Source organism: Homo sapiens, chromosome 2 (genome assembly GCF_000001405.40).
Source record: "Homo sapiens chromosome 2, GRCh38.p14 Primary Assembly".
NCBI classification, from domain to species: Eukaryota; Metazoa; Chordata; class Mammalia; order Primates; family Hominidae; genus Homo; species Homo sapiens.
The window spans coordinates 216,255,194-216,281,878 of NC_000002.12; the positions used below are offsets into that span (position 1 = coordinate 216,255,194).

Below are 26,685 nucleotides of genomic sequence, written 5' to 3' on the forward strand. Positions count from 1 at the left end.
CATTTATTTGTATTTACCCCAATCTCCAAAGCTTTCCTGTAGATCTCTCACATTCTAATCTCCCTGGTTGACCTGATCCAGATTTTCCTTAAATTGGCTGGTTGTCTTGAGGAAATGTGACAGAGTGGTTATGCTGAAAGCCAGATTGCTGGCCAGGCACGGTGGCTCACACCTGTAATCTCAGCACTTTGGGAGGCCGAGGTGGGCATATCACCTGAGGTCAGGAGTTCGAGACTAGCCTGGCCAACATGGCAAAACCCCGTCTGTACTAAAAATACAAAAATTAGTCGGGCATGGTGGTGGGTGCCTGTAATCCCAGCTACTTGGGAGGCTGAGACTGGAGAATCGCTTGAACCCAAGAGGCAGAGGTTGCAGTGAGCCAAGATTGTGCCATTGCACTCCAGCCTGGGCAACAAGAGTGAAACTCTGTCTCAAAAATAAATAAATAAATAAATAAGCAAGCCAGATTGCAGGGGATGGGATCCTGGCTGGTGACTGTAGGCACGTTACTTAACCTCTTGGCCTCAGCGTCCACATCTGCAAAATGAAGATAAGAATGGTATCTGTTTCATCAGGTTGCTGGACTGTTAAGTGAATTAATACATATAAAGCATTCCATTTGGTGCCTTGCACATAGTAAGAACTTCAGATGTTAGCTAGTATATTGCCCCATACATGGGTCATACTTGCAGATGATGTGCAAGTGAACTCTGCGCTACTTTTCATTACTCTGCATTAAATAATTCCACAGGAAATATAGACATTTGCCTCATGGTATGAAAGATGATCTGCACATCTGATAGAGGGCAGTGATCTCTGGTCATCAGTGTGTACTTTTACCTTGCTTCCCAGAGACGCATACAAAATATAAAACCCCAATTCATTCATTTCTGTACCCATAAATTCAACTCCCCAAGGCACTGGGAAATTACCATCCTGTTGGGTGGAGAAGTCAGAACTTGACCTTTCTTTTCTACTCTGTGATTGACCTTGTGTGTTAGAGCATAAGTTGAAAGAAGAGGAGGCGTGTCTCCTAGATGCTGAACGTACTCTTGCACTCTTCCAAGAGTGTCTTACTCATTCAAAAATATTCATTGAGAACCTACTGTGTGCCAGGTACTGCTGTGGGTCCTGAAAATACAGCAGTAAACAAGGCAGATGAGGTCTTTGTTCTCTTGGAGCTTGCATTATCAAGATCCAATAAACTCCAGCATCCTACAAGAGTTTATTATTAATTGCCTCTTCTTCTTCAGTACAACATATTCAAATGATGACCTTCAATGGCTGCAAGAGTCTAAAGAGCCTTGTGAACCACCAAAGAAAAACAACATCATGGCCACTATAGTTTTGATGATATGCATATTTTGTTGTATTATAATACCTTTTTTTCTTTTCTTTTTTTTTGAGACCGAATCTTGTTCTGTCACCCAGGCTGGAGTGCAGTGGTGCAATCTCGGCTCACTGTAACCTCCGCCTCCTGGGTTCAAGTGATTCTTCTGCCTCAGCCTCCCAAGTAGCTGGGATTACAGGTGTGTGCCACCATGCCTGGCTAACTTTGTATTTTCAGTAGAGATGGCGTTTCACTACATTGGCCAGGCTGGTCTCGAACTCCTGGCCTCAAGCAATCCACCTGCCTTGGCCTCCCAAAGTGCTGGGATTACGGGCATGAGCCACTGTGCCCAGCCTTTTTTTCTTTTTAGAATTGGGGTCTTGCTATGTTGCCCAGGCTGGCCTCAAACTCCTGGGCTCAAGTGATTTTCCTGCCTTAGCCTCCCAAGTAGCTAGGACTAAAGCATGTGCCACTGCAACCCACTCTGTAATACTTTTTTGAAAACAGATAGTCCATATAACACATCTATAGCCTCCATAAATGTTTATTTAAACTGAAAGCCCTGTTCCTAGACCATATTGAAAAATAAACATGCTTCCTCTACATGGTTTATTTGCACAGTGTGATTGGTTTTCATTTGTTTGTATGTTTTCCTTGTATGTGTCCTTCGGTCTCTCTCCAAGTGTGTCTTTCTTAATTCTCTGGATTTTGAGCTTCATCAGGGAGGAAGCTTTCTAAGCCTATGCACACCCGACTGATGTCATTGCCTGACCCACAGCCAGCCCCAGGGTGGGAGGGCCAGATTAAGTTGAAGGGAAAAAAAGATCTTGTCTGCTGCCTCATAATATGTCCAAGCCTTCTCATGAGGTCTTAACGTGGGTGCTGTCCTCTGATAGTCAAAGGACACTGTCAGGGCAATGAGGTCCTAACACTCCTCTCCTGTGTGTGGCTTTCCCAGCCTCTGTGAAATGACCAGATGAAGTGGAGCTCTCCAAACTGCCCCCAGCACCCATGGTCTCTGCTTCTAGGATTCCTGGGCAGAATCCTTGGGAGAGCCTGGGGCCTGAAGGACTCTGTCTGCTAGGATGCCAAGAAGAGGCCAGGAGTTTACTGCAGATTCACACACAGGCACACAGAAGGGAACATCCCTGCCTATCCTGCCCTGTCCGTGCCCTCAGAGGAGAAATGAAAACGTGCCTGATTTCTTGTGATGGGGGAGAATCTATCCCTTGGAGAATGCTCCAAGGGATGGAGCAGACACAGGGAGAAAGAAGGCTGTTTACACCACAGAGGGAGGATAGGGAAGAGGAAGAAAAACTCGCATATGGAAAGGGACACTAATGGTAGGGAAAGAAGTTTTATTTTCAAGCTTTTAAGAGAATATTACAAACAACAGAGAGTTTTAAAAAACCCTAAAAACTAGTTTAAAAAAGTACTTGACAGTGTCCTTTTAATACCCATGGATGACGCGACCACTGTGCAGTGACAACCAGAAACTTTGCAGGTGAACACCCAGTGGCCTTCCCTGGCAGGGTCCCCAGAGCGAGCAGGAGGGGTCCAGGGGTAGTGCTCCCTGCCAGGCACCCTTGGGCCCACCTGGCTACGCGGGAAGGAGCAGGGAGCACAAAGCACTGAGCATCAGCCTGACTGCCTCTTTGGGGAGGGTTCCAAACAGGGAGGGTTCCAAGCAGCAAGGAATACTTAGATTGGGCTCTACTCCACTCCTTGGGGCACACTGGTCAAGCTCCTCCCAACCACTGCAGCTGCTCTCTTGGAAGCCCGTAGGTCAGGGGTGCCCTACCGTGAGGGGACTGGGTCTGTGCATGTGCCAAGACAAGAAGGGGCTGGCATTGCACATGTCCTGGCCATGGTGGGGTTGGGTAGTTGGGAAAGTTGCTCCGGGATTGACAGCTTCCAAAGCTGAAGCCACAGCAGCAGAACTGTGCTTGAAATATCCACTGGAAATCTGTACTTTTCTCTAGGGGTGTGTGTGTGTGTGTGTGTGTGTGTGTGTGTGTGTGTCCTGTAAACATCTTTGAACCAAATCACTATAAAATAAATTAACAAGGGCACAGAAGGACACCCTTTTCCAAACCTAAGCCCTCTTTTAGCCCACCTGAAATCGGGAGTTCCATTTGGAAGTTCCTTCAGGAAGGAGACACACTCTCCCTCTGGCTGCTCACACCAGCATATCCCTCCCTGAGCATCCCTCCCTGACCATCCACCCCACCATCCCCACAGCCATTTGTCAGCGAATCTTGCCCATCCAAATGAGCCCAGGAGCCCCAAAGGCAGTGTGTCCCTGCCAGCTCACCCGTGCCTCCTCCTTTTCTGGCTGCCTGCAGAACACAGCCCCAGGAGAAACAAAACCAAACAGGGTGAGAGCAGAGCAGACCACAGATGCTTTTCCTCTTGGCCCCCTTGGCCTCCGGCACTGCCACAGTCACACAGGCTTTGCCTGCCCTCAGCCTCTGCTTCTTCGGGTACCTTGCCTGCAGGTGCATTGGGGCAGGGTTTTTCTGTTGGGCCAGGTTCAGCCTGTATTGCACTTTGTTGTTGAGTTGGTGTTGGTTTTCATTGTTGTTGTGGAGAGTGGCATTGACTGATTGGAAATAGCAGAACTGCTCCTGCACCAGCCTCACTCCCGCTCTGACACTACCCCAGGGCTCCCGCCAGGTCCCCCACCCTCTGCCTGCTCCCTCTGTTGGCTCTGGGGGTGCCACTGCACCTCCCCACCCTGCTCCGGGCCCTCAGTGGTGGTCATGGCCTTCCTTCCGGGCCTCTGCTCTCACACTGTCGTGACTCTCATGACCAGCTCTCGGCTGCTGCCTGGGGGACTTCGCTGTTCATGAGGTCTCAAGTGACTCAGGATGTGCAGGATGGTATAAGCACAGTGGTGATGGGACAGAGGGCCTGAGGGGTGGCCGGCAGCCTGGGCAGGGCCCTGCTCAGGGGCAGGGGTGCCTGCGGTCTCCTCTTCCGAGGAGGGGATATTGGCCTGGGTGGATGAGGAGGTCCGGGGGTTGGTCCTGCCTCCTGCCTTTTGATCCTCCAGGTCTTTTGTCTTGTCATAGTTCAGCACTTTCCACTGCTGGTTGACAGCCTGCCACCGTTTAAAGATGCGGTACACCGAGGGTCCTTCATGGATGATGAGACCTGAGGCAGCAGGGAGAGGAGAAACAGAGGCCAAATGAGAGGAAGTGGGTCACGGCCAGGAGACCACAGTCTCTCTGAATCTATGCAAGGTATGGGCAATGGCTCCAGTGCTGAGCCATGGGAGGACCATCCCTAGATTCCCAGGCTCAGCAAGTTCCAGTAGGCAGAAGGTGGAGGGGCCACCAGACCGAGTCCATGAAATAGTTGAGCACCTTCAGGCAGTGCCTTCGCCCACTTCTACACCACCCCACCCCCTTCCTGCCTCGACAAAATCCAAATTCATCCACTAAGGCATAATATAAATATCTTTTCCTCCCTCTATTATGTATCCATGGCACCCAGTCCTTAGCAGATGTTGAATGAATTGTGTGCTTTTAAAGCACCACAAAAGAAAACCCATGGTTTCTCCACACCTGCTAAAGGTTGCTAGAAATCCCACTGGTTAACTCTTTGCATGGATACCCCAGTACTACTGAGATACAAACAGCCCTTTGATGCAGTTATATCTGCCAGAGGCAGTGATAGAGTTGGAAACAAGTTACACCAGGCAGCAAGGCAAATAAATAATCATTGTGTGCCTATTGTGTGCCAAGCACTGGGGATACTGCAGTCGGCAGGACACCCTCTGAGAGCTTACATCTTCATGGAGACACACAATAGACAAACAAACCAAAGTGACAATTTCAGGTGCTGACAATTGCCTTAAGGAAGATAACTGGGGTTAAATATCCACTGGCTGCAGGCACTGAGATCCTGTTTTAGCAAGGGTGGTGGGAAAGGCCTTTTGGAGGAGATCATATCTGAGTTGAGACTTAAGTGATGAACAGGAGAGATCCATGCAAAGATCTGGAGAGAGAGCACTTCGGTGGAAGGAACTCCAAGTGCAAAGGCCAGGAGCTGGGAATGGAATGAACAAGGTCAGAGAGAAGGTCAGTGTGACCAATACAGTGCAGCAGTGAGGAAGTGGAGGGAGGTAAGTTGAGCAGAGGCCAATGGATGGTAGGGTCTTATAGGCCATGGCTAGGGATTTGCATTCTATCCTGAGTATAATGGGAAGCTATTGACGGTTTCAGTAGGGGGAATGATGTGATCTGATTCACCCTTCATAAAGCCACCTGTGGCACCTGTGAAGAGGGCCAAGAGAATGAGTGGAAAGCCAAGCAGGAAGCAGTGATGTCATGCGGGTTGGAAATGGTGATAGCATTGACTAGGGTCATGGTGGTGGAGCAGTGAGAAACTGCTGGAGTCAGGCTGTGTGCTGGAAGTAGAGCTGAAGACTTGCTGACTCGCAGGGTGGGAGTGAAGAGAAAGATCTGGACAACTTCGAAGCTCTTGGCCTCAGCAGCTGCATGAATGGGAAGCCATTTCCTGAGAAGTGGAGGGCACCAGAGGCGGGCTATGGATTTGTGTGGTGGCTGCGGTGACCGGATTCATTTCCTATTGCTGCAGTGACAAAATACCACACATCTAGTAGCTTAAAATGGGATGCATGTTTCTCTTACAGTTCTGGAGATCAGAAGTCTAAAATCAGTCCCACTGGGCTGACGTGAAAGTGTCAGCAGGGCACCTTCTGGTTCTTTCTGGAGGCTTTGAGGGGGAAGAATCTGTCTTCTTGCCTTTTTTCAGCTTCTAGAAATTGCAATTTCTGCCTCGTTCTTGCATCACTCCAGCCTCTTTCTTCTGTTCTCACCTCTCCTACTACTCTTCTGTCATCAGATCTCCCTCTCCTTCTTGTAAGAACACTTGTGGCTACATTTAGGGCCCACCTGAATAATCCAGGATACTGTCCCCATTTCAAGTTCCTTAAATTAATCACATTGGCGAAGTCCTTTTCCATATAAGGTAACATTGACAGGTTCAGGGATTAGGACCTGGATGTCTTTGGGGCCCATGATTCAAGCCTATCAGAGTGATTACTAGCTACATTTTGGTCATGGTTAGTTTAAGGTGTCTGATAGAAATCTAACTAGAAGGGTCAGATGGGCAACTGGACATATGAGTCTGAAGCTTAGGGAGAGGTCTGGCCTGGAGATAGAAGCCATCATTGTAGAGGTAGAACTTGAAGACTTGGAAATGGCTGAGACCTCTTAGGGAAGAGAAGAAGGCCAAAGACAGAGCCCTGGACTTCAGGTGTTTAGAGGCTTGGTGGAGGCTTTGGTGGAGATAGGGCCAATGAATGAGGCTCAAAAGAAGCAACCAATGGGGTAGAAGCAAGACCAGCAAGTGTGGAGACCCAAAAGCCTAGGGAAGGATTCAGAAAGAGTGCAGTGACTCTTTACAATGTTATCAAGAGGTCAGCTTGAGTAAAATGGGAAATGACCACCAGTTCCATGGGCACAGAAGGAGGGAGAATGATAGAAATGACAGCAAGAAAATCAGGTAGTTCTCATCCAAGTACACATATATTTTTTTTCCCATGAAGTCATCAGCTAAGATAGAAGAGATAAGAGAGGAAGTGTTAAAGATTTGTGGAGAGAGGAGAAGGTGGGAAATAATTATCTCGGAAAGTAGGAGTGTGAATTTACAAGGGAGATGTGGTAGAATTAGCTCACTGTGTTAAGTATCCATTTGAGATTTGTAGCCATAAATCTGAAGTGAATCTAGTTACTGGTTGTGTGATTTTTCTCCACCCCTTCAAACTGCTTGCTCAGGTGCACATGTGGAAGAAGAAGAAACCTGGGCTTAATCAGGGTAAACGGTTTCCCTGGGCAAACAGACATGAGAATTATATGTACTTGCAAGAGAGTGATTATCAGGCTGGACCATGGAGCCCAGGCTGGGGATGAGAATACGAAAGGTATAAGGAATAATGAAAAGTGGAAAGTGAGAGAGTCAAGGCCAAGTCTTTATGAGGTTAGAGGATTATTGGAGTCAGTGAATGGGGGGTGATGGTCGGAGAGTGGGATGTTTAAATCCAGATTTTGGAGGTGGTGTGGTTACTAGCAATTATGAATCTAGGATGTGACTATTTGATTGGGGCTGGAGTGTGCTGGAGGAAAAGATCTTTGGAGCAGGGAATTGGAAAGACTATCTGCATCAGCCATCCTCAATGCTATCACACCAAACATCCCCTTTTTATAACAAATATATTTTAACATCATCATTCCCATCCTGAAATGAAATTCATAGCTACTATGTCTTTTAAATTAATATAATGCCCTAAAAGAGAATATAAAATAAAAATAATAAAGGGAAATCTTTTATAACAAAACAATATACATTTCAGTGAAAATGCTATGGTACAACTACATTAGGAAACGGACAAACAAATGAACAAACCCCAGATATTTCCAAATGCCTCCGGGGTACAGGCCCATCTCTGCCAAGCACTGATCTATGTAGTGCTGAGGACAGGAGTAGGGGGAGTGTATGAGCAGGTGCGTGAGGGTATCTGAGGACTGAGTAGGCAGCCAGTATCCAACAGCATCCAGAAGGGAAAATGGGTGGTAAAGAAAGATGCACTTCGCCTAGGCGCAGTGGCTCATGCCTGAAATCCCAGCACTTTGGGAGGCCGCGGCAGGTGGATCACCTGAGGTCAGGAATTCAAGACCAGCCAGGCCAACATGGTGAAACCCCATCTCTACTAAAAATTCAAAAATTAGTCAGCTATGGTGACACGCGCCTGTAATCCCAACTATTCAGGAGGCTGAGACAGGAAAATTGCTTGAACCCAGGAGGTGAAGGTTGCAGTGAGCCGAGATCATGCCACTGCACTCCAGCCTGGGTGCCAAAATCAGGACTCTGCCTGAAAGAGAAAGAGAGAGAGAGAGAGAGAGAGAGAAAGAAAGAGAAAGAGAGAAAGAAGGAGAGAGAAAGAGAGAGAGAGAGAGAGAGAGAGAGAGAGAGAGAGAGAGAGAGAAAGAGAGAGAGAGAAAGAAGAAAAAGAAAGAAAGAAAGAGAAAGAAAGAGAGAAGGAAAGACTTCAAAGGGGCTGAGGCTTCTGAAGCATGAAGGAAGAGAAGTAGTTGCGAGTGGTAATGGAAATCAAGAAGGACATGGGCCCCACCTCCAGACCCCACAAGACACAGTGTGTGTGGGGGAAAGAACAGCCGCCACCAGTGTGAGGGAAACGGTGTTCTCAGGACACAGCCATGCTTCAGGTAGGAAAGATGGAGGGAACACACAGAGAGGAGGCTGCTAATGATGGACCATGAAGTGCAGGGGGGCACGGTGAAGGGCTGGGAAGACCGGCTCAGATGTAGGGATGAGCTGAGCAGGAAAGGGATGCTGGTGCAGAGAGTGAGGCTGCCAGGAGCTGGGCCCTGTGATGGTGGGTGAGATGATCACACGGTGGGCTTCATCCCACAGCTACTGAGGATCCAGGGGAGCAGCCGGCTTGGAGCAAACAGTAATGAGTCACCCCAGCCTCCTGGTGCAAAACCTCAGAGCCTCTTCAGTCTCCAACAGGTTGCAAATCTCGGAGACCAGAGCCACCCACAAGGCCACTTTCTCCTCCGGTGTTCAAACTGTGTCTGAAATCATGCCTCGCTCAACAAGTCTTCAAGGTTCATCGAAAAAGAGGTAGTCTCAGGGGTTTCTAGCCCTTTGTTTGGATCACACCCCTTTGAGGATCTAACGAAGGGAAGGACCATCTCTCTGGAGGGGAAAGAAAACAGACACTCAAACTGTCCTTGTACTAAATCTCCTGAAGATCACTGGTGGACCCTCTGCTCTGGCCTGAGAGATGCTGAACAAAGAGACTTCTTTTCTGTCCCACTCTCTCACCCTCTCCCAGTTGTACCAACTCCCATCATCTCTGCCAATCTTTTGAATGTGTACCTATGCACCCTTGGCACTGAAGCCATTCATCTGTCCATTTATCCCACAAACCTTGTTTGAACATTGGTATGCTCTTTTCTCCAGACTGTAATCCCCTCGAGGACAGAGCCAGGTCTGGTTAATCTCCGGCAGCTAACACAGCACAAGGAGTGTAATGGTACAGTGGAAGAGATGGGGTGTGGAGAGAGAGAAGTGGGATCTTCTGAAGCCCCAAATTCACTCTTTCCAGTAAGGGACATTACATTTGATTCTCAATTAGCTTCTTGATCAGGCAATTTTGTCCTGATTGAAGAGTGTGACTTAAATTCCTGGTGTGAATGCTGCCTTCCAATTATCTAACTGTCTAGTGTTCAGGAAGTAGTTAAACCATTTTAATGGATAGTTGGCTGAAGGTGAAGAAGGTGGACCTGTTTTTCTAGATAATGCTTGTTTGGGAAAAGAGGGAAAAGCACAAACTACCTCATTCAAATCCACTCTTCACAGCCCTTCCTCTGCTCCCTGCTCTACAAATTTCTTATTGATTTCTTGGGTGGCAGCGTACCGAAGAAACAGGGGAAGATGACTGGGGCTCATCTGATAGGAGCAGGTGACGTGGCCAAGGTTGAAGAGGTGGGAAAAAGGGAAGGGGGATGGGAAGTGGCAGTGGATAGAGAAATAGACTGGATTCGATTGGGAAGAAAGGCTGCTGGTGAACAGAGGCAGAAAAGTCATAGGAGGAGAAAATGGGAAATGAGGGGGCATAGTAACATCAGAAACCCAACAAGTTTTGATTAAGTCCTTTCTGGTTTTTAAATACTTAATGTAATGGTGTTCTAGTGGTCACCTACAATGTACCCAACCCTGGGCTGTATTTGTGGGAAATCCAGTTCTAGAAGAATTGTCTCCTTTGTCTTTCCAATGTCTCTCCACCTTCCGGGGCTCCTCTTCCTCATAAAGCTGCAAGCTCCACGGGTCATCAGAATCCCACCCCCACTCCATGTCCTGCTAATGGCCTGGGTTAAGTGATATAAAAGTTACTGACACTCTAGAACAGTGCTTTTTACACTTTTTTTTTTTTGACAGGGTCTCTCTCTGTTGCCCAGGCTGGAGTGCAGTGGTGCGATCATGGCTCACTACAGCCTCGACCTCCTGGTTCAAGTGATTCTCCCGCCTCAGCCTCCCAAGTAGCTGGGACTTCAGGCACACACCACCATGCCTGGCTAATTTCTGCATTTTTTATAGATACAGGGTTTTGCCATGTTGCAGACTGATCTCAACTCCTGAACTCAAGCGATCCTCTTGCCTCAGCCTCCCAAACCGCTGGGATTACAGGCATGAACCACTGAGCCCAGCTGCCTTTCACACTTCTACTGTGCATTAGAATCACCCAAAGAGCTTGTTAAGACAGATTCCCAGGCTGCAATCTTGGAGGCCTACTGGCTTAGTAGCTCTGGGCTGAGGCCTGAGAATATGCATTCCTAAGAAACCTCAGGTGAGGCTGATGCTGCCTGTGTGTGGACTGCTAGGCTAGGACATGGTTTTTATTCCTCATAGAAGGTTCTAAATTTTGATCACAAAACTTATTATAAGTAATTTTAAAAAGTAATCTACTTCCAGATGTCATAGACATGGAAATGGGAAGAAACGGAAGAAATAAATACTTCCTCTCCTAGACCCAAAGACCTTTGTGCCCCACAACTAAGAGTTAACTTACCAGTGAGTATGTATTAATATTAAGCTTTCAGAGTGTTTGCCACTTACTCACCTTGCGGCTTTAGGTAAGGGACTTCCTCTCTCTGAGACTCAGTTTTCTCATCAGTAAACCCTTCCTCATAGGGTTGTTTTGAGATTAAATAAAGTAATGAGTCCTGCGTGCCAATACCTGGTACTGTGCCTGGGACACATGTAACACTCAATGCCACATGATATTGATTATCGTGGGGGAGATTACAGGACACAAGAAAAGCCCACTCATCTCTCTTCCTCCTTCTTCATTGGCAACCTTGTCCCCAACACAAGTACCTGCTCTTTCATCTCCTGACTCCCCAGCCCTCAGTCAAGTCATTGTTTATAGATGAATGACATGCCAGAGGTAAAAAGCACTCTAGAGACCAAATGATTCTCATACTGGTGCCTCCTCTCCAACCACAGAGAGGCACTCTCCTTCCCTGCAGAATTCCCCACTGTCAGACAGCTATGGGGTGAGGCTTAGTAGTGTCTCACTCTGAAGCCCTACCATTGCCAACCACCCATCTTCCAGATTCCACTCCTCCAGTGCCCAGCCCTGTTAAGAACCTGGACCAAAGCACATATCAGGGAACGGTTGAAAGAAATGAATATAACCGGCTATTTTGGGTGAGTTCAGGGGGTACTGCTGGGAAAGGCCAGGTTGACAACATCACTGCCTGCCCAGTATTCTCCAGGGTGCAGCTTTATACTGGACACAGGTATGGCCAGGCTACACGTCACATGAGCTATTATAAAATTACAAAGCTTATTATAAAGTTACCATAAAGTTACAAAAGTAGTTTATTTAAGTAAACATGCCAACACCTTTCTATATCGAATCAGAGTTTTGTCTTTTAAAATCCCAAGGATTGCCCTTTGGAAATAGGGTATTTACTCCTATTGGGCTATCCCAGTTCAGAACATTTCTGGAAATTGCTCAGTGGGGTTGGCCTTCTGTGACAGAGATGGCTAACGGTCCACTAAAATCCACACTCCCTTTCCTTGGTATAAAGTTGCCACTGAGAAGTTACATTTTCTAGCTTTTTGCACCAAGGTGAGACCAGGTGACTAGTACTGAATGTGACCACAAGCCAGGCCAGCATTTAAGAAATGGGTCTAGGGAACACTCATTCCATTTGATTTTATAGAATGAGGTTTGCCCAATAAAAATAAAAACAAAGAAAAAAGAAATGGGTATTGAGAGAAAACTTGTGCAAGGCTGGGGCAGAAGACGACTTCTTCATGCTCTGTTTAATTTTCTATTAGCTGGAGGCAAAAGACTCAGCAGCCCAAGGGGCCTGTGGAGCCCAGAGATGGAAGGAGTTTGGGACTCCAAATTGCTGTGTGGAAGAGAATCTCCTACTGCTCAGGAACTTCTATTGGGTTAAACCACTGACACATAGGGGCTTATTTTTTTCTATCTGCTGAAGTTACCCTAACTAACATACCTATAGCTCTAGGTTAGGGACCACACAAGAAAAGAAGTTTGTGGCTTGATGGCGTGTTTCATATTGTCCCCAAAATGTATTAGCTGGCTTGAGCTTCCACCTTATTTATCAAATTGGGGCTATTTCTAGTCACAAACCCACTGCCAACAGACAGGCCACTCCTGAATCTGTTCTGTGCCAAAGACAGTTCCCAAGAAATATTCCTAAAATATGTTGAGCTTTGTCAGAACAACTGGGATAAATGAAATGCCTCTCGAGGGGTCTCTTTGGAAAAGGACAGTGCATCTGCTTCTAAATCAGTCATCTTCATCTCTAAGCAACCAGCCACTTGGCTGTGGAGATTGGTGGCCGTCACAGGAGGCCCCGGGTGGGTGGGAAGGAGTTAACACGGAATCTAGAAAACCAGATAAGCTACATGCAAGTAACAGAACGTGGATGGGCATCATCTCGCCAGTTTCTACAGCTGCTGCTTCTCATGTCAGTTTTGTGGCCCAGCCCAATATTGCTGGGGATGCCCCACGGTCACAAGTGTCAGCCTTTGCAAGCCCTGGCATCTCAGTGTGGAGGTGACATCAAAATCCTGGGATGTCAGACCTGGAAGGAACCTGGAGGTTGTCGGTTTCACCCCTCTCATTTATAGATGAGGAACTAACTGTAGAGAGAGGGAGTAACTTGTCCAAGGCCATAGAGGTGATTAGTAGCCGATATGGTTTGGCTGTGTGTTCCCACCCAAGTCTCATCTTGAATTGTAATCCCCGTGTATCAAGAAAGGGACCTATAATCCCTACATGTCAAGGGAGGGAGGTGATTGGATCATGGAGGCGGTTTCCCCCATGCTGTTCTTGTGATAGTGAGTGAATTCTCACAAGATCTGTGTTTGGAAGTTCCTCCTTCATTCTTCTCTCTCCTGCTGCCTTGTGAAGAAGGTGCCTCCTTCCACTTCTGCCATGATTGTAAGTTTCCTGGGGCCTCCCAAGCCATGTGGAACTGAGTCAATTAAATCTCTTTCCTTTATAAATTACCCAGTATCAGGGAAGTCCTTTATAGCAGTGTGAAAATGGACTAATATAGTAGCTATTCTGGTCTTCAGACCTAGATCTGCTTCCTAGTTTCTCGTACTGCACTAGGCTGCCTCCAACAAATGTTCCAAGTTTCCTAATCAGGAAATTAAAAGGTTTTACAGGTAGAGTCATTTCTAGCTAGGAGGAGAGGAAGGAATTTTTGTGGCATATGTATGTTTTGTAGTTAACGTGGGTTAAAATTAGGTTTGAAAGAAAAATGTTTGTACAATCCTGCTGCCCCCATCCTCTGCCTATTTGCTATAAAATGAGATTTAAATTCCTTCATCTCAGAGGACAGGGGCCAGGCATCTTTAAATCACTGAAAAGAACCTCAGGGGACCACACACAGAGGAAGCTTAAAAAAAAACAAAACTTTCTATAATTTTGCTGATTACCATATTCTACTGTTTTAAAGCTTTGGAAATAATCTCAGGAACATTCCTTTCCTTCCTTCCCCTGACCCCATATCAATCACAAGTTAAAAACAAACATGATGAAGAAGAGAGCCTCATTTTTGCAGAGTTGACTATTTGATGTCCAATCTCTTACATCTGTGGAGTTAAAAAAATGTTTTTTTGGTGCCAAAGCCCTTAATTAATTTGCTCTTGTTAAATCCTAATAACTTGACCCAGTGGAGCAGAGAATACCCCATTTGTTTGCTGGGAGGCTCTGTCAGCTTCTCTGCAGCAGAGGACAGCGTCATTAGAGATGACAGAAGAGGAGGCAGGTGGAACGAGGACATTAGATATAATCAGATCTTCTCATTGAGGGGACATAGGTGAGGGAACAAAGAACCTTCAAGAAAAAGCACTACTCCAAATAAGAGCAGACTTTTAATGACGTGAGGACACAGGTTCAGGCGATCTCTATATCTAGGCTGTAGCTGCATTCTGATTATAACAGTTTCGGCAAACCTTTCTTGAGTGTTCCCTCTGAGGGGAATCCACCCTGATCAAGCGCTTCCTACCTGGTCCCTGATGATTACAAGGACACACTACTTTACATTTGCCACAGTGCTCAAACCTCTGAACCACCCTCTGATGATGGTGTTATTATCCTATTTCATAGACAAGGAAAGGGAAGCAGAGAGAAGTGCCAGTTCCTCAAGGTCACAAGGTTAGTAAGAAGCTGAGCCCTGGGCCATTCTGTAGTACAGCTGCCACTTGGGAAACCCACCACTCTGGCCTTTGTGACTCAGTCCTTCCTATTGTTTTCTCATTCTCTATCTTCAACTGTCCCTTACTTGGTTAGTGTCCCCTAGTCCTCTGTCCTCAGCCACATACTCTCTGAGCACTGCATTTTCTCATCAAAACCCACAGCTTCAAACACCTTTTACTGTTCACTTCCAAATCTGTCTTCAAGCCTCATTATCCAATTGCCTACAGAAATCTAGGCATCCACCAGAAATTTTTTTTTTTTTGAGACAGGTTTCACTTTGTCACCCAGGCTGGAGTGCAGTGGCATAATCATAGCTCACTATAACCTCAAACTCCTGAGCTCAAGTGATCCTCCTGTCTCAGCCTCCTGAGTAACTGGGACTGCAGGTGTGCACCACCATGCCTGGCTAATTTTTTAAATTTTTGTAGAGATGAGGACTCACTATGTTGCCTAGGCTGGTCTTGAACTCCTTGTTTCAAGTGATCCTCCTGCCTTAGCCTCCCAAAATGCTGGGATTATAGGCATTAGCCACCATGTCTGGCCTACCAGAGATTTTTAACCCTCTTTTATCACCCGCCCCAACCCCATCAGTCACCAACCCTTGTCAGAACAGGACCAATGCCCTCAACATCTTCCTCTACGTCACAGGAGGGGACTACCTGTGTGCTATAAAAGGCCTCTCCCTCTTTCTACCCTGACAAAAAAACCTCTTCTTAGTACTGCCTTCTCCTCCTTGTATTCCATAATGTACTCCATGTGTCTTGTTTATCTTCTACTACAAACTCTTGGCTTAGAGAGGCTCTTGCCTCTCTGCCTGGATTTTAGGCTTAAGGTTAGTCCTTTTGTTGTGATGCCTTTGCCAAGGACATACCCTTTTGTTGTCCTTTGTTCTATCCATTGCCCATCCCATTCTCAGGCTCCACAATGGTGCCCATTCCCCACTCAAGCCACACTCTGGGACTCTCACTCTCCTAAGAGGGACCCAAACAACCCTATCAAATCTACATCCTAAGTACCTCTCAAGGTCATCCCTACACTTCTTCCCTACTGCCACTGTGTTGCAACTCTATTTCTTGCTTAGCCTATTACAAGCATTTTCCAGCGAAGTCCTTCCCTTCCCTATTCTGTCCACCTCTGACCCATTCTCTCCATAGTTGCTAGAGTTCAATTTAAAATGCACATCTGTTCATATTTCCCCATTTGAACTAGAGTTCAATTTAAAATGCAAATCTGATCATATTTCCCCATTCGAAATTTTATCAATGCCTCCCCACCACCAGTGGGGTCAAATCTGAGTGGCTTAGCATATGACCCATGACTCTGTGGGATTTGGCATGGCCAACTGCTCCAAGCCCCTTGCCCATCACCCACCTCCCAGCCTGACTATTTGCATTGAGCCATACAGACTCACCAATATTTCCTAAGCATACCTGGCTCACTCATGTCTCTGCACCTCCATACAATGCTAGTTCCTTTGCCTGAAATACTCTTTCCCCCTCTTCTGGATGAACTTTGATTTGTCTTTGGAAACTAGCTCAAGGATAGGGTTTCTTCCTTCAATAAGCCTTCCTGGACTCCCCCAAGAGAGTCAATTGCTCTCTGCTCTGCTCTACCTTCCTCTGTACCATGTACAGCCCATCCTGGATTGTGACTTATCTGTAGACTATGAGCTCCTTGAGGGCAAGGAATTGTGTCTTATTCATCTTTTTGTGAATGTTCTCTAGTTTTGGGAACAAAACAAGGCAGCCAACAAAAGCTACTGAAGGAATGGATATGACCCGCTCTGACTCAAGTTCCTCTTTCCTGGGCTCACACTCATTCTTATGTTCAGACCTCAGTCCCAGCTCTTATTATATGGGGTTCAGTGATTACCTTGTCTCCCTCCCCAACAAGAAGAAAGATTCTTGAAAGCAGGTGACTCTCTCATTTGAGTGTATATACCCAGGTTCCTCTGAATATTTCTTTCTTTTTTTTTTGAGACATGGTCTTACTGTGTCACCCAGACTGGAGTACAGTGGCACCATCATAACTCACTGCAGCCTTGGCCTCCTGTGCTCAAGCGATCCTCCTATCTAAGCCTCCCAAGTAGCTGGGACTACAGGTGCACACCACCACACCTGGCTAATTTTTTTTTTTTTTTTTTTTTTTTTAGAGATCTCTGGTAGGCCAGACATGGTGGCTAATGCCTGTAATCCCAGCATTTTGGGAGGCTTAGAGATCTCTAAAAAAACACCCTATGTTGCCTAGGCTGTATCAAGCAATCCTCCCAGTTTGGCCTCCCAAAGTGCCAAGATTACAGGTATGAGCTACTGTGTCTGGCCTGAATAAGTATTTTTAAATTAATGAATAAATGGATTCCCCAAGTTCATGTTAACTAGATTTAGCTTCTCTCACCTGAAGAACCTTTCACCAGAGTGTCTTATAGGGAGATAAACCATAAAATTTCATCTCAATTTCTCAGGCTTCTCTCTCAATTGATGTCAAAATAGCACAATCAAAAAGGAGATGCAACAATGGCTAACCTCCCAAACCCTGAATATAGGACAGGAGCAGCTGGGGCTCACTGAATTTCTGATTGTTACCAGCAGTTATCATGAGGGTCAAAATATTACTGGACTAATTTCCCCCCAACCTGCCTCCCCAACCAAGCTCTGCATTTGCAATTTTACAGAGCAATCAGAGAAGAAATAGATAGTAGAAAGAGCCCTGGAATTACAGCCAGAAGTTCTTGGTCCAATCCTCTGCTCCACCATTTTCTTAGCTGTGTGACTTGGAGCACAGTTGCTTTAAGCCTTTCCTCATCTGTTAAATATGCATCCTAATGCTTATCCTGCTTATCTTTTGGGGCTAATCGGTTTCTCTCTGTTCTTGCAGGGATGTCACAGTTTGTTCCATCCAAAGCAACGTACGTTTGGCTTTCACAGTGGCATGCATTAGTCTAGAAAGTTAGGACCCTAAGCTAAGAGATGCTTTGTCTGTCGAGGCAGCTTGTGTCAGTAATTGTACAACCCTCTGGTATAACCAAGTCTAAAGACATCATCCTCAACTCTGGAACTGTGCTGTATCAAATAGGGAGCTCAGACTTTCCTGGCAGTCATTTCAGGCAAAATCCTTTGGTAAGCACTGAGCCATTCTCCGAGAGTCACTGCTCTGGAGTCTTCTCATTGACTGCTAAGAGCCAGTTGGATGGATACAGCTGTGGATGGGGTTGAAGCAGCTCCATGGGCAGCAAGCAGGCAGTGTCCTGCACAGCATCCTCCTGGGTTCCTGGCAGGGCGTATCTGCAGAGCTGCAGTTGGCTTTCGTGAAGCTTCTCCTTGGAGTCCCTCCTACTTTCATGAGCTGTCCCTCAGCACACCGCTCCAAAAGGAAAGGTAAATACATTGTTAACGATTTGTTAAAACCATCCATTTTATGTTTACTCATATTCTTTACTATCTGTGGCCATTTAACAGTCTTAGGGAATAAACAAATTGTCCTTGGTATCTGAAATATAAAGAAAGTCTAGAGACTCATCGCAGCAGATGGTTTTGTTCCTCTTCTCTTACTCGGCTTTTTGAGCCAACACAGGGCTAGACTCATTTTCTTTTCTCCTGATGATAACATTTTTATCTCAGGTGCTGAATTGCTCCACCCATCCGAGGAGCTTGGGCTTATGGATATTGATGCTTTTTTGTCAATGTTTTCCTCAACCAGCATTTCTTGAGAAGATGCCCCTCTGCTGAAATCCCTTCCACCCACTCTCTGCCAGGGAGCCTTCTCTTCCTCTTCCCATTCACATTCTCTTCTTCCACTCTCTCAGGACTTCTGGAAGGGAAGCTTCCCCCTTTTTCATGGAAGCAAACTAACCTATCAGGTTTTGAAACTGTAGAATGCCTCAGATGTAAGATAGATGCCTCCCGTGGCTCCTGCCTTTGTTTCCGCCTTCGTGCAGCAAGAAGACCACGCTGAGCCTCCTTCTGGCAGTCCCAGCCAGGTCTCTGTTCCCTGTTCTAGCTTCTCTGTCTCTCATTGGTTCAGTAAATCTGGTTTGGGTGGCCAGAGGTCCAGGTTCATGGGTGGAGGCAGGAGGTGGTGGGAGAGGGGTGATGGGGACATTTTCTCCTTCTCTCAAAGCAAACTGCACCCTGGGTTGGCATTCTGGAAATTTGATGAAGTTGGAGTGTCGGTTGTGTTACAGCATCACTTGAGTTGGGGGCAACCCCTGGTTAATGGGTGTTTTATTGGGGATGCCTGCTGGGAGCCTGTGGCTTTGGGCTTCCCCGAGCACAGTGACCTGAACTGAGTATGACTTCTGCGGGAACCCTGGAAATGATGCTCAGGTGGACCCTATACCCATGGTTGTGGGTCTCATCTTCTTGCTCCTGAGGTACTGTTTGGGAGCCAAGAGAATAGCTAGGGACTAGGATGTGGAGTGCAGTGAGGACTCCCTGCAGAGGTAAGCCCGACTTGCCATCCCAGAGGCTGTGGTTCCTGTCCTACATTGCCCTGAGTGAATCTAATGCCAAATGTGCTCTCTGGAAGTCCCCATGAGTCAGAATGTCTAGTTGAGCCTAAAAATAAAGATATCCCTGGCAGGCATTGCAGGCTCTACCCGATTCTCCCTCCAGAGAGCCCTTAAAAAGCAGATATTTTTGCACCAAATTGTGCAGTGTGATGCGTTTTCCCTCTACTGGACAGAATACTGCACAGAAGGAGAAGTTGAATTTCACCCTCAAACCACTGTCATCACTACTGGTTATCATCATTTTACCATCAGTAAAATCCCCATCATTGCAACCCCAAGAACCTGTTTGTGGATTCCCACCATTGCCTTGCACCTCCCACTCTCTTGCAAGATCACATATTACTCCTTTTTATTTCTTCTCCTAGCATTTTCCCCTGTGGACAGCCTTTCCTATGAAAACCCTGAACTGAGACTTCTACTCTGCTGTGGGAGTCAGCCTAAGACAAATGCCTCTGTTTCAGAATTTCACAATCTGAAAAATGGGAAGACGAATCCTTGCCCCCGCAGTCATGCTCTGAAATGGTATAGGTTCTTATTATAATCAATACAATGATAGAGCTGTCTGAACTCACTCCTTAAAGGTGAGATGGTCTAAATGTCAATAGATCTCACCACTTTTGGATGACACTGAAAGCAAGTAGGGTCCCTCTGCATTCCCTCTCCCATCCCATAGCTGTCTCCAAGCAGTCACTGGCTTGTCAGCACAGAATGGATAAATTATGGTGTGCTTTTGCATCTTGGGCTATTATGTTTTCCGAAGAAAGGGAAACAATGAAAACTCTCAATATTCAGCCCACTCTGCTTCTCCCAATAAATTGAAGGACTGAGTGCCACATGTGTATAAGAAAAAGAATTAGAGAGATAGAAGTGTGCCAGGGAAAAGGCAGGCAGCTAGAAAAAAGCCAAGAAACAGGAGGAGGAGGAGAGGTGGCACAGAGCCCTACTCAGAGAGAAACACCATGAGAAGAAGAGACCAGAGCACCAGGCCAGGCTGAGCGGGAGTGCTGGGAGGCTCAGAGCCATGGGGAACAGACCTATGCATGACAGCCCCCTTGTGAGTGGGCCCAGGTGCACTCAAAGTCACAGGTGGCATCTGTAGGTTTTCCATAGGTCACACCATGGGACTCCTGCTATCTGGTGCAAGACAGCTAATGGAATGAGCACTGGGTTGTGAGTCAGGAGACCTCACTTTTAATCCCAGATAAGAACCTTGAGCAGATTATTTCCTCTCTCTGAGCCTCAGTTCTCTCAGCTGCAAAGCAAGCAAGCCAGACTGGTCGATGACATGGTGGTCTCTTCTATATTCAATTCGGTCTTCAAATCTGTAGAGCCATTGGTGGTAGCAGGCATTTATGCTCCTCTCTTTTGTCCGTGCTCCCTCCAGGGAAGGAACTTATTTCCCTGCTCTGTTACCCTATTGATGTTGAGCTTACTGACTACTTGTGTTAGCCAATAGGCTGTGGGCAGAAGGGAGAGTGCACTAGTTCTGAGCAGGCGTTTTGAGATGCATTGCAAGTTTCCACCAAGCCCCCTTGTGCTCCTGCATTCATCTAGGAAAATAGCACACCCAGTAGTCCCTGCTCCGTTAGCCTGGGTCCCAGCATGAGGAGACACTCAGAGCAGGCCTGAACCCAATGCACAACCAGAAGTTAAGCCCAGCCAACCTCAGCAGAACCAAAGCCATCTCCCAAACCCCTGAATGGGAAATCAATGTTTGTTGTAAGGCACTGCGATCTGTGGAATTGTTTGTTACTGTAGCCAATGCTGACTAGCTGACTAATACATCATGTGACAGGAAAGCATGTCTTATAGGACACATCAGAGACTGATCTAAAGCCTGTCTGAAGGAGAATGAAGGGCAGCTAGAGGGGCCCCTCCACTGTTTCCCCCTTCCATGCCAGAGCTGCTGTAAACCTCCATATGGAGACACACCTGGCTTTTGGCATCAATAATCCAGGGCTCAGCAGGAGTAGGAAGGGAGTTTGGTGGGAGGGGGAAAGAAATTAGAATGCATCAATGTCAAATTGTTCCCTGTTCATAGTCCTCCAAACCTGGGCTATCTGCTTCTCTCACTGACTAGGTGCTATAATTAAAAGACTCTTGAACTTGGAGTTGAAATATTGGTTTAGCTAATGTGGAGAGACAGCAAGATGGCTTAGAGAAGTTTACAAGTTCCAGCATCCCTGGTCTCTGGCTGCTGCAACCAGTATGTAAGTCTCCAGGCTTTTCTGATCCCTAATATTAAAGAACTCCAAAGAAATTCACACAAACGTCATCCCAGCCAAATTCTAGCTAATAGATATTTTTCTGCCAAACAGAGAAGTGTAGCTTATTTAATACAATATACATACTAACAACACCGGGAGAGGATAACTGTGGAACTCTAATGCTCCCAGGACTGTGACTTAGGGGATAACCTGAGAGTTCTAGGGTGGGATGTCTGACCAGCGCTTCCCCACCTCCTTAGCTGCTTGGACCATATCTTCAGAGTCAACAGCCACAATCATCTGTTGGGGGAGGGAGGGGAAAGACCCAGCCCGCAACCACCCAAACTACATGGTGGAAGAAAGGAAGAATATAAACTTGGGGATGGGGTCAGAGAAGGAGCAGGATCTATAGCAGTAGGTTCCAATTTTTTTTTTCTAAAACACTGAAACCTTTTAAACGAAACCTTATCTGGAACAGAAACACATGTAAATAGATAAAAGAACAGAAGCCATGATGAAACAGGAGTGAGGATTTGAAGCCTCTCTGTGCGGCATTCCTTTTCCATTCCCTGGTGGGATGGGAGAGCCTGGAGCTGTGTGTGAGGCCCCAGTACTACACAAAGCTGGAAAACCACTGGACTAGAGAAACTCAGAGCATTGAAACAGGCTTAGAGAAAGCTGGAATAAGGCAGGGAGTGGGGGCAGATTCAACCATGGCTGTCTCTAGGTAGTTTGCTGTGAAGAGAATGGAATGAAATGGGCAGGCATCCCTTGTCATGCTTGGCAGTATAGGGTGCACAGTGGAGAGGAGGCCATGCACATCCTGCTTGAAGTACATAGACTAACAATTTTTCCCAAATCCTCCTAGAGGCAGGCCTCATCTTTATCTTCAACTGTGCAAGACAGGTTTGTTTGGGAAAGATCTAGATCTTCCTTCTTTTCCCTGCCTCCTCCCCCTTCCCATCCACCCCTTGAATCCAAGCCTCTGGCCTCTCCTGAGCTCCCAGTTCTCAAGCCTGGGGCCATATCTGCTTCAGCCTCCCACAGTGGGGGATCCTGAGGGATCTGTCCATCCCACGAGCACATGGTTCCCCACTTCCCATGGAGACAAACCCCCAGACCCACCTATGCACACCACGTCCATGAAGCCATACATCCCGTAGCAGATCTGGAAGAGAAGGTCTTGGCGCTGCCATCTTGCCGAGGGGCTGAAAGTTGACCAGATGAGCCAAGAAATACTGGCGATGAGGAAGAGGGAGCCCAGGATGGCGGCTGCAACCTGAACCTTCTCAATGACCGTCAGAGAGATGGCCTGCCACTGCAGGGGAGAGAGTGGCCAGTTAGCAGTTGCTTGGATGCCCTTATCCCATTCCCACCCCTCTTCTGTCTGCTGCTCCAACAGCTCACCTCTGATTTAGGATTTAAGCCAGGGCTTTCCAACCTGTGGTACAATGAGCATTTTGCAGGTTTCTGAATTTCACATTGAACTTTTGATGCAGAGGAAATCTCTGTCACACCAAATGATCACAGTTCATTGTAAGGAGGGGGCTCTAGGTGGGCATGGCTGGAAAGGAAGACCCTTAGACTTGATAATGATATACACAGAGAAATGGAGGGAACAATGAAAATGCAGAGCTAGTGAGGGTGGTGTTCTAGGCCCCCAGATGATTCTTTTATTTATTTATTTATTTATTTTGAGATGGAGTCTTTGCTCTGTCGCCGGCTGGAGTGCAGTGGCACGATCTCGGCTCATTGCAAGCTCCACCTCCCGGGTTCACACCATTCTCTTGCCTCAGCCTCCCAAGTAGCTGGGACTACAGGCACCCAACACCATGCGTGGCTAATTTTTTTGTATTTTTTAGTAGAGACAGGGTTTCACTGTGTTAGCCAGGATGGTCTCGATCTCCTGACCTCGTGATCCGCCCACCTCGGCCTCCCAAAGTGCTGGGATTACAGGTGTGAGCCACCATGCCCAGCCTGCCCCCAGATCATTCTTTTCAGAGAAACACAGTCTATTTTCTCACTAACAGGTGCTGAGAGTGCACAGGCTTTTTTGTTTTTGATTTTTTTTTCTTGCTTTCTACAACATCACCTTGCATGCCTCTTAATTTATATGCTAGAGATTACCAGTTCACTAGACGAGAGAATGAGATGTGGGGAGAGAGAAGAAAGGCAGCTTATAATTTACTGAATGCATATCAACACTATTATTTCATTTTTTAACAGAAAAAGCCCTGTGCTTATACCAGTATTGACAGATGGGTTAAAGGCTAGGGTGTGGGTGAGTTTCAACTCTGAAAGTCTATGATTCTATGGCTGATCCGGGCAGTACAGGTCTGAAGGAGCCAGGAGTTAGATTTTTAACTTGGGGTTTATTCATGCACTTACTCAAGGAATATATATTGAGTATTTTCTATGTGCTGGCCACTATGCTAGGTGTTGGCAATGAAGCCCTAGGCGAAAACAGACAAGGTGCCTGCCCCTGTGGAGCTTATAGTCTAGGGAACTTAGACAACAATATAATTATTCGAACCTGCAATTTATCAAGGGTAAATCAGGGAGGAACATGGCACAGTGAGAGCCGGTGATAGGGGGATTCGACTTCCCAGAGGAAGCAATACTTGAGCTGACTAAGCGGTTACTAGGCAAAGAAAGGAGGGAAGACTGCTCCCGGCAGAGGGAAGAGCATGTAGAAAGGCCTGTGCCAGAAGAAAGCATGGGAAGGATAAAAGCCTGGGAGAAGATACAAGTGGGTGGAGTGGAGACAGCAAAAGAGCTTGTGGGGTGAGACAACTGGAAAAGGAAGAATGAGAGATCACACAGAACCTTGTAGAATATGCAGAGACTTTGTGCTTTGTCCTAAGTGTAGATGTGATGATATGAATGGTTTTAAGCAGAGGACTGACAGGATCAAATTTGGGAAGGTAGGGGGAGGACATCTTTTGACTGGACAGATTTGCATAGCACTCTGCAAAGAACACCCCCAGAAAGCATTTCACTGAACTCTGAGGAAAGGCAGACTACTTTCCCTCTGCCAACAGGGAGACCCGGATGGAAGCATTTGATTCATTCTGGCTGCAGCTGGGATTGGCCTGGCCAGTGGCCTCCAGGGAATTTTAACTGTTGGGAAACATTTCACTTGCTGGTCCAGACATAGGACATCAGCGTCTACATTTAATTAAACAGATAGCCTCCATTACAGGTAATTGGGCCTTTACATTTTCCACTGTTTCCCCCCGCCTAGGGTTACACATAATGAAAGGATTTTCCAGAAGATGACTTCATCATACAGACTTCTTTCATGCACAACAAATGCTTTTTCCAGGGCCTGCCCTCCTGCCTGGAAAGAGGGCTTCTGGCTGAGTTTTTGTTTCTACCATTGAGGCATCCATCATCCTCACTTTCTCCTGCTCCTCTAGACTTCAAAAATGCCAAATATAGAGGCCCAGAAAGCTTCTCTTCATCCCTAAAACCCCTTCTACCACCTCTGAAGCCAGCTGTGGAACCTAAATGGGGCTCCTGACTGCAGTGTGAAGCGTGACGAAGGAGCAGGGTGGGGTTCTATGGACAAGGCACTCTCCTCCTGTCTGTCCCATATGAGGCTCCACAGAGATGAGGGAGAAAGCAGAGAGTGAGCGAGCTCTGAAAACTCACAGGAGGGCTGGGAGGGGGAGAAGGACACCCAGGGTACCAGGCTGCCACCAGATCCCCACTCTGATCTCAGTATCATGAGGTTTCTCCATACCCTGAACTCCCATCCTGCAGCACCAATGAATGGAGAGACAAGCGGAAGAGCACAGAGACTGAATGCTGTGTGCCTTAGAACAGGAAGGGGCACCAACTGAGGGATCAGATGACCCGATCCTGATTGGGTTCCGCTCCTACGCACTGAGTGTGACCTAGGAGAAGTCAATCAATCATGAGGACCCTCAACTTTCCTTTCTGTAAAATAGAAATAATTGGTCTTTCCTGCTTCCTAGAGTGTTATGTTAAATGAAATCACTCTTAAACCAGTGCTTTGAAGGGCATTCTTAATGATGTTTCAGCAAAAATACAGATCAGCCTGTCAAGGAGGGGATATTCCCAAACGTGCCTGTGCAGAAGTTAAGACCTGGACCCAGGAGTCAGACCCCCACATCTACGCCACCACTCGGTAGCTGTGTCACCCTGGGCATGTTGGTGAACCCTTCTGTGCCTCCATTGTCTCATCTGTAGTTTAGGAAAAATAATAGTGCCCACTTCACTGGGTTGTTTCCAGGACTAAATTATACAATATATGTGAATATTTAGAACACTGACTGGCCCCTAATAAGCACTAACTAAATGTTCATTAATAATTGCAATTCACATGTAACAAAGAGACAGTAGGAAGCAGCCATGAAACCTTTAGACTCTCAGGGCCATGCTGTGCCTCCTTTCTCAGTGGTTCTTCTGGCTGGAAATATTGCTTCTGGAGGGTCGCTGAGATGATGCCCCATGTGACACAGGAAACAGTGTATTATTTCTCACAACTTTTTTTTTTTTTTTTTTTTTTTTTGAGACAGGATCTCGCTCTGCCACCCAGGCTGGAGTGGTGCACTGGCATAATCATAGCTCACTACAACCTAGACCTCTTGTGCTCAAATAATCCTCCCACCTCAGCCTCCCGAGTAGCTGGGACTACAGTCATGGGCTACTACTCCCAGCTAATTTCTTTTGTAGAGACAGGGTCTCATTATGTTGCCCAGGCTGGTGTTGAACTCCTGGCCTCAAGTGATCCTCCAGCCTCAGCCTCCCATCAGTGCTGGGATCACAAATGTGAGCCACCATGCCTGGCCTATTTCTCATGACTCTGTCTGGGGCATGAACCAGGAGGTAAGAGAACCAGGAGACCTGGAAGGAGCTTCCCCTCTCTGATAGCAGAGGCAGGCCTGGGATTCCCATCCATTGCTCCGCCCACTTGTGGTGGGGCCTGCCAGCTCCATCCTACACTGCAAATGATCCAGCTGGGCTGGGGCATAGTAGCCCAGAAGTTGCCCACTGTACTGAGCAGGCAGCTGTCTCACATGTTGCTGGGCCTGAGGAGCACAGGACATACAATTGGGACAATTTGGACCACAACCACACAAAATTGCTTCTAATCCAAACTACTTCCTTCTTCCAGTGCTATCCAGAAGTGAGATGGCATTTACTGAGCACACACAATTGCATTTCCAGGAGCAACAGAATCAGAGGGAGCCCCCAGCAGTGAGTGTCAAGAAACTCACAGTGGAAGACAGGGTAGGGACTCAGGAATATATCCATATGGATCCTTATAGATCCATATTGCTAACACTGCCACTTGCTTACCTGA

At 46.9% G+C, this 26,685-nt stretch overlaps 1 protein-coding gene across 1 annotated transcript in view; it reads right to left on the reverse strand.

Annotated features, from left to right (window-relative positions):
- Positions 1-2,671: 2,671 nt before the first annotated feature.
- MARCHF4 (membrane associated ring-CH-type finger 4) overlaps positions 2,672-26,685 on the reverse strand; it is a 114,619-nt gene continuing 90,605 nt past the window's right edge. The window contains exons 3-4 of the mRNA NM_020814.3: positions 22,479-22,671; positions 2,672-4,486 (exon numbers count right to left, since the gene is read on the reverse strand). Coding sequence (NP_065865.1) covers positions 4,119-4,486; positions 22,479-22,671 — 561 coding nt within the window. The 3' untranslated portion in view covers positions 2,672-4,118. The remainder of the gene's footprint in view (positions 4,487-22,478; positions 22,672-26,685) is intronic.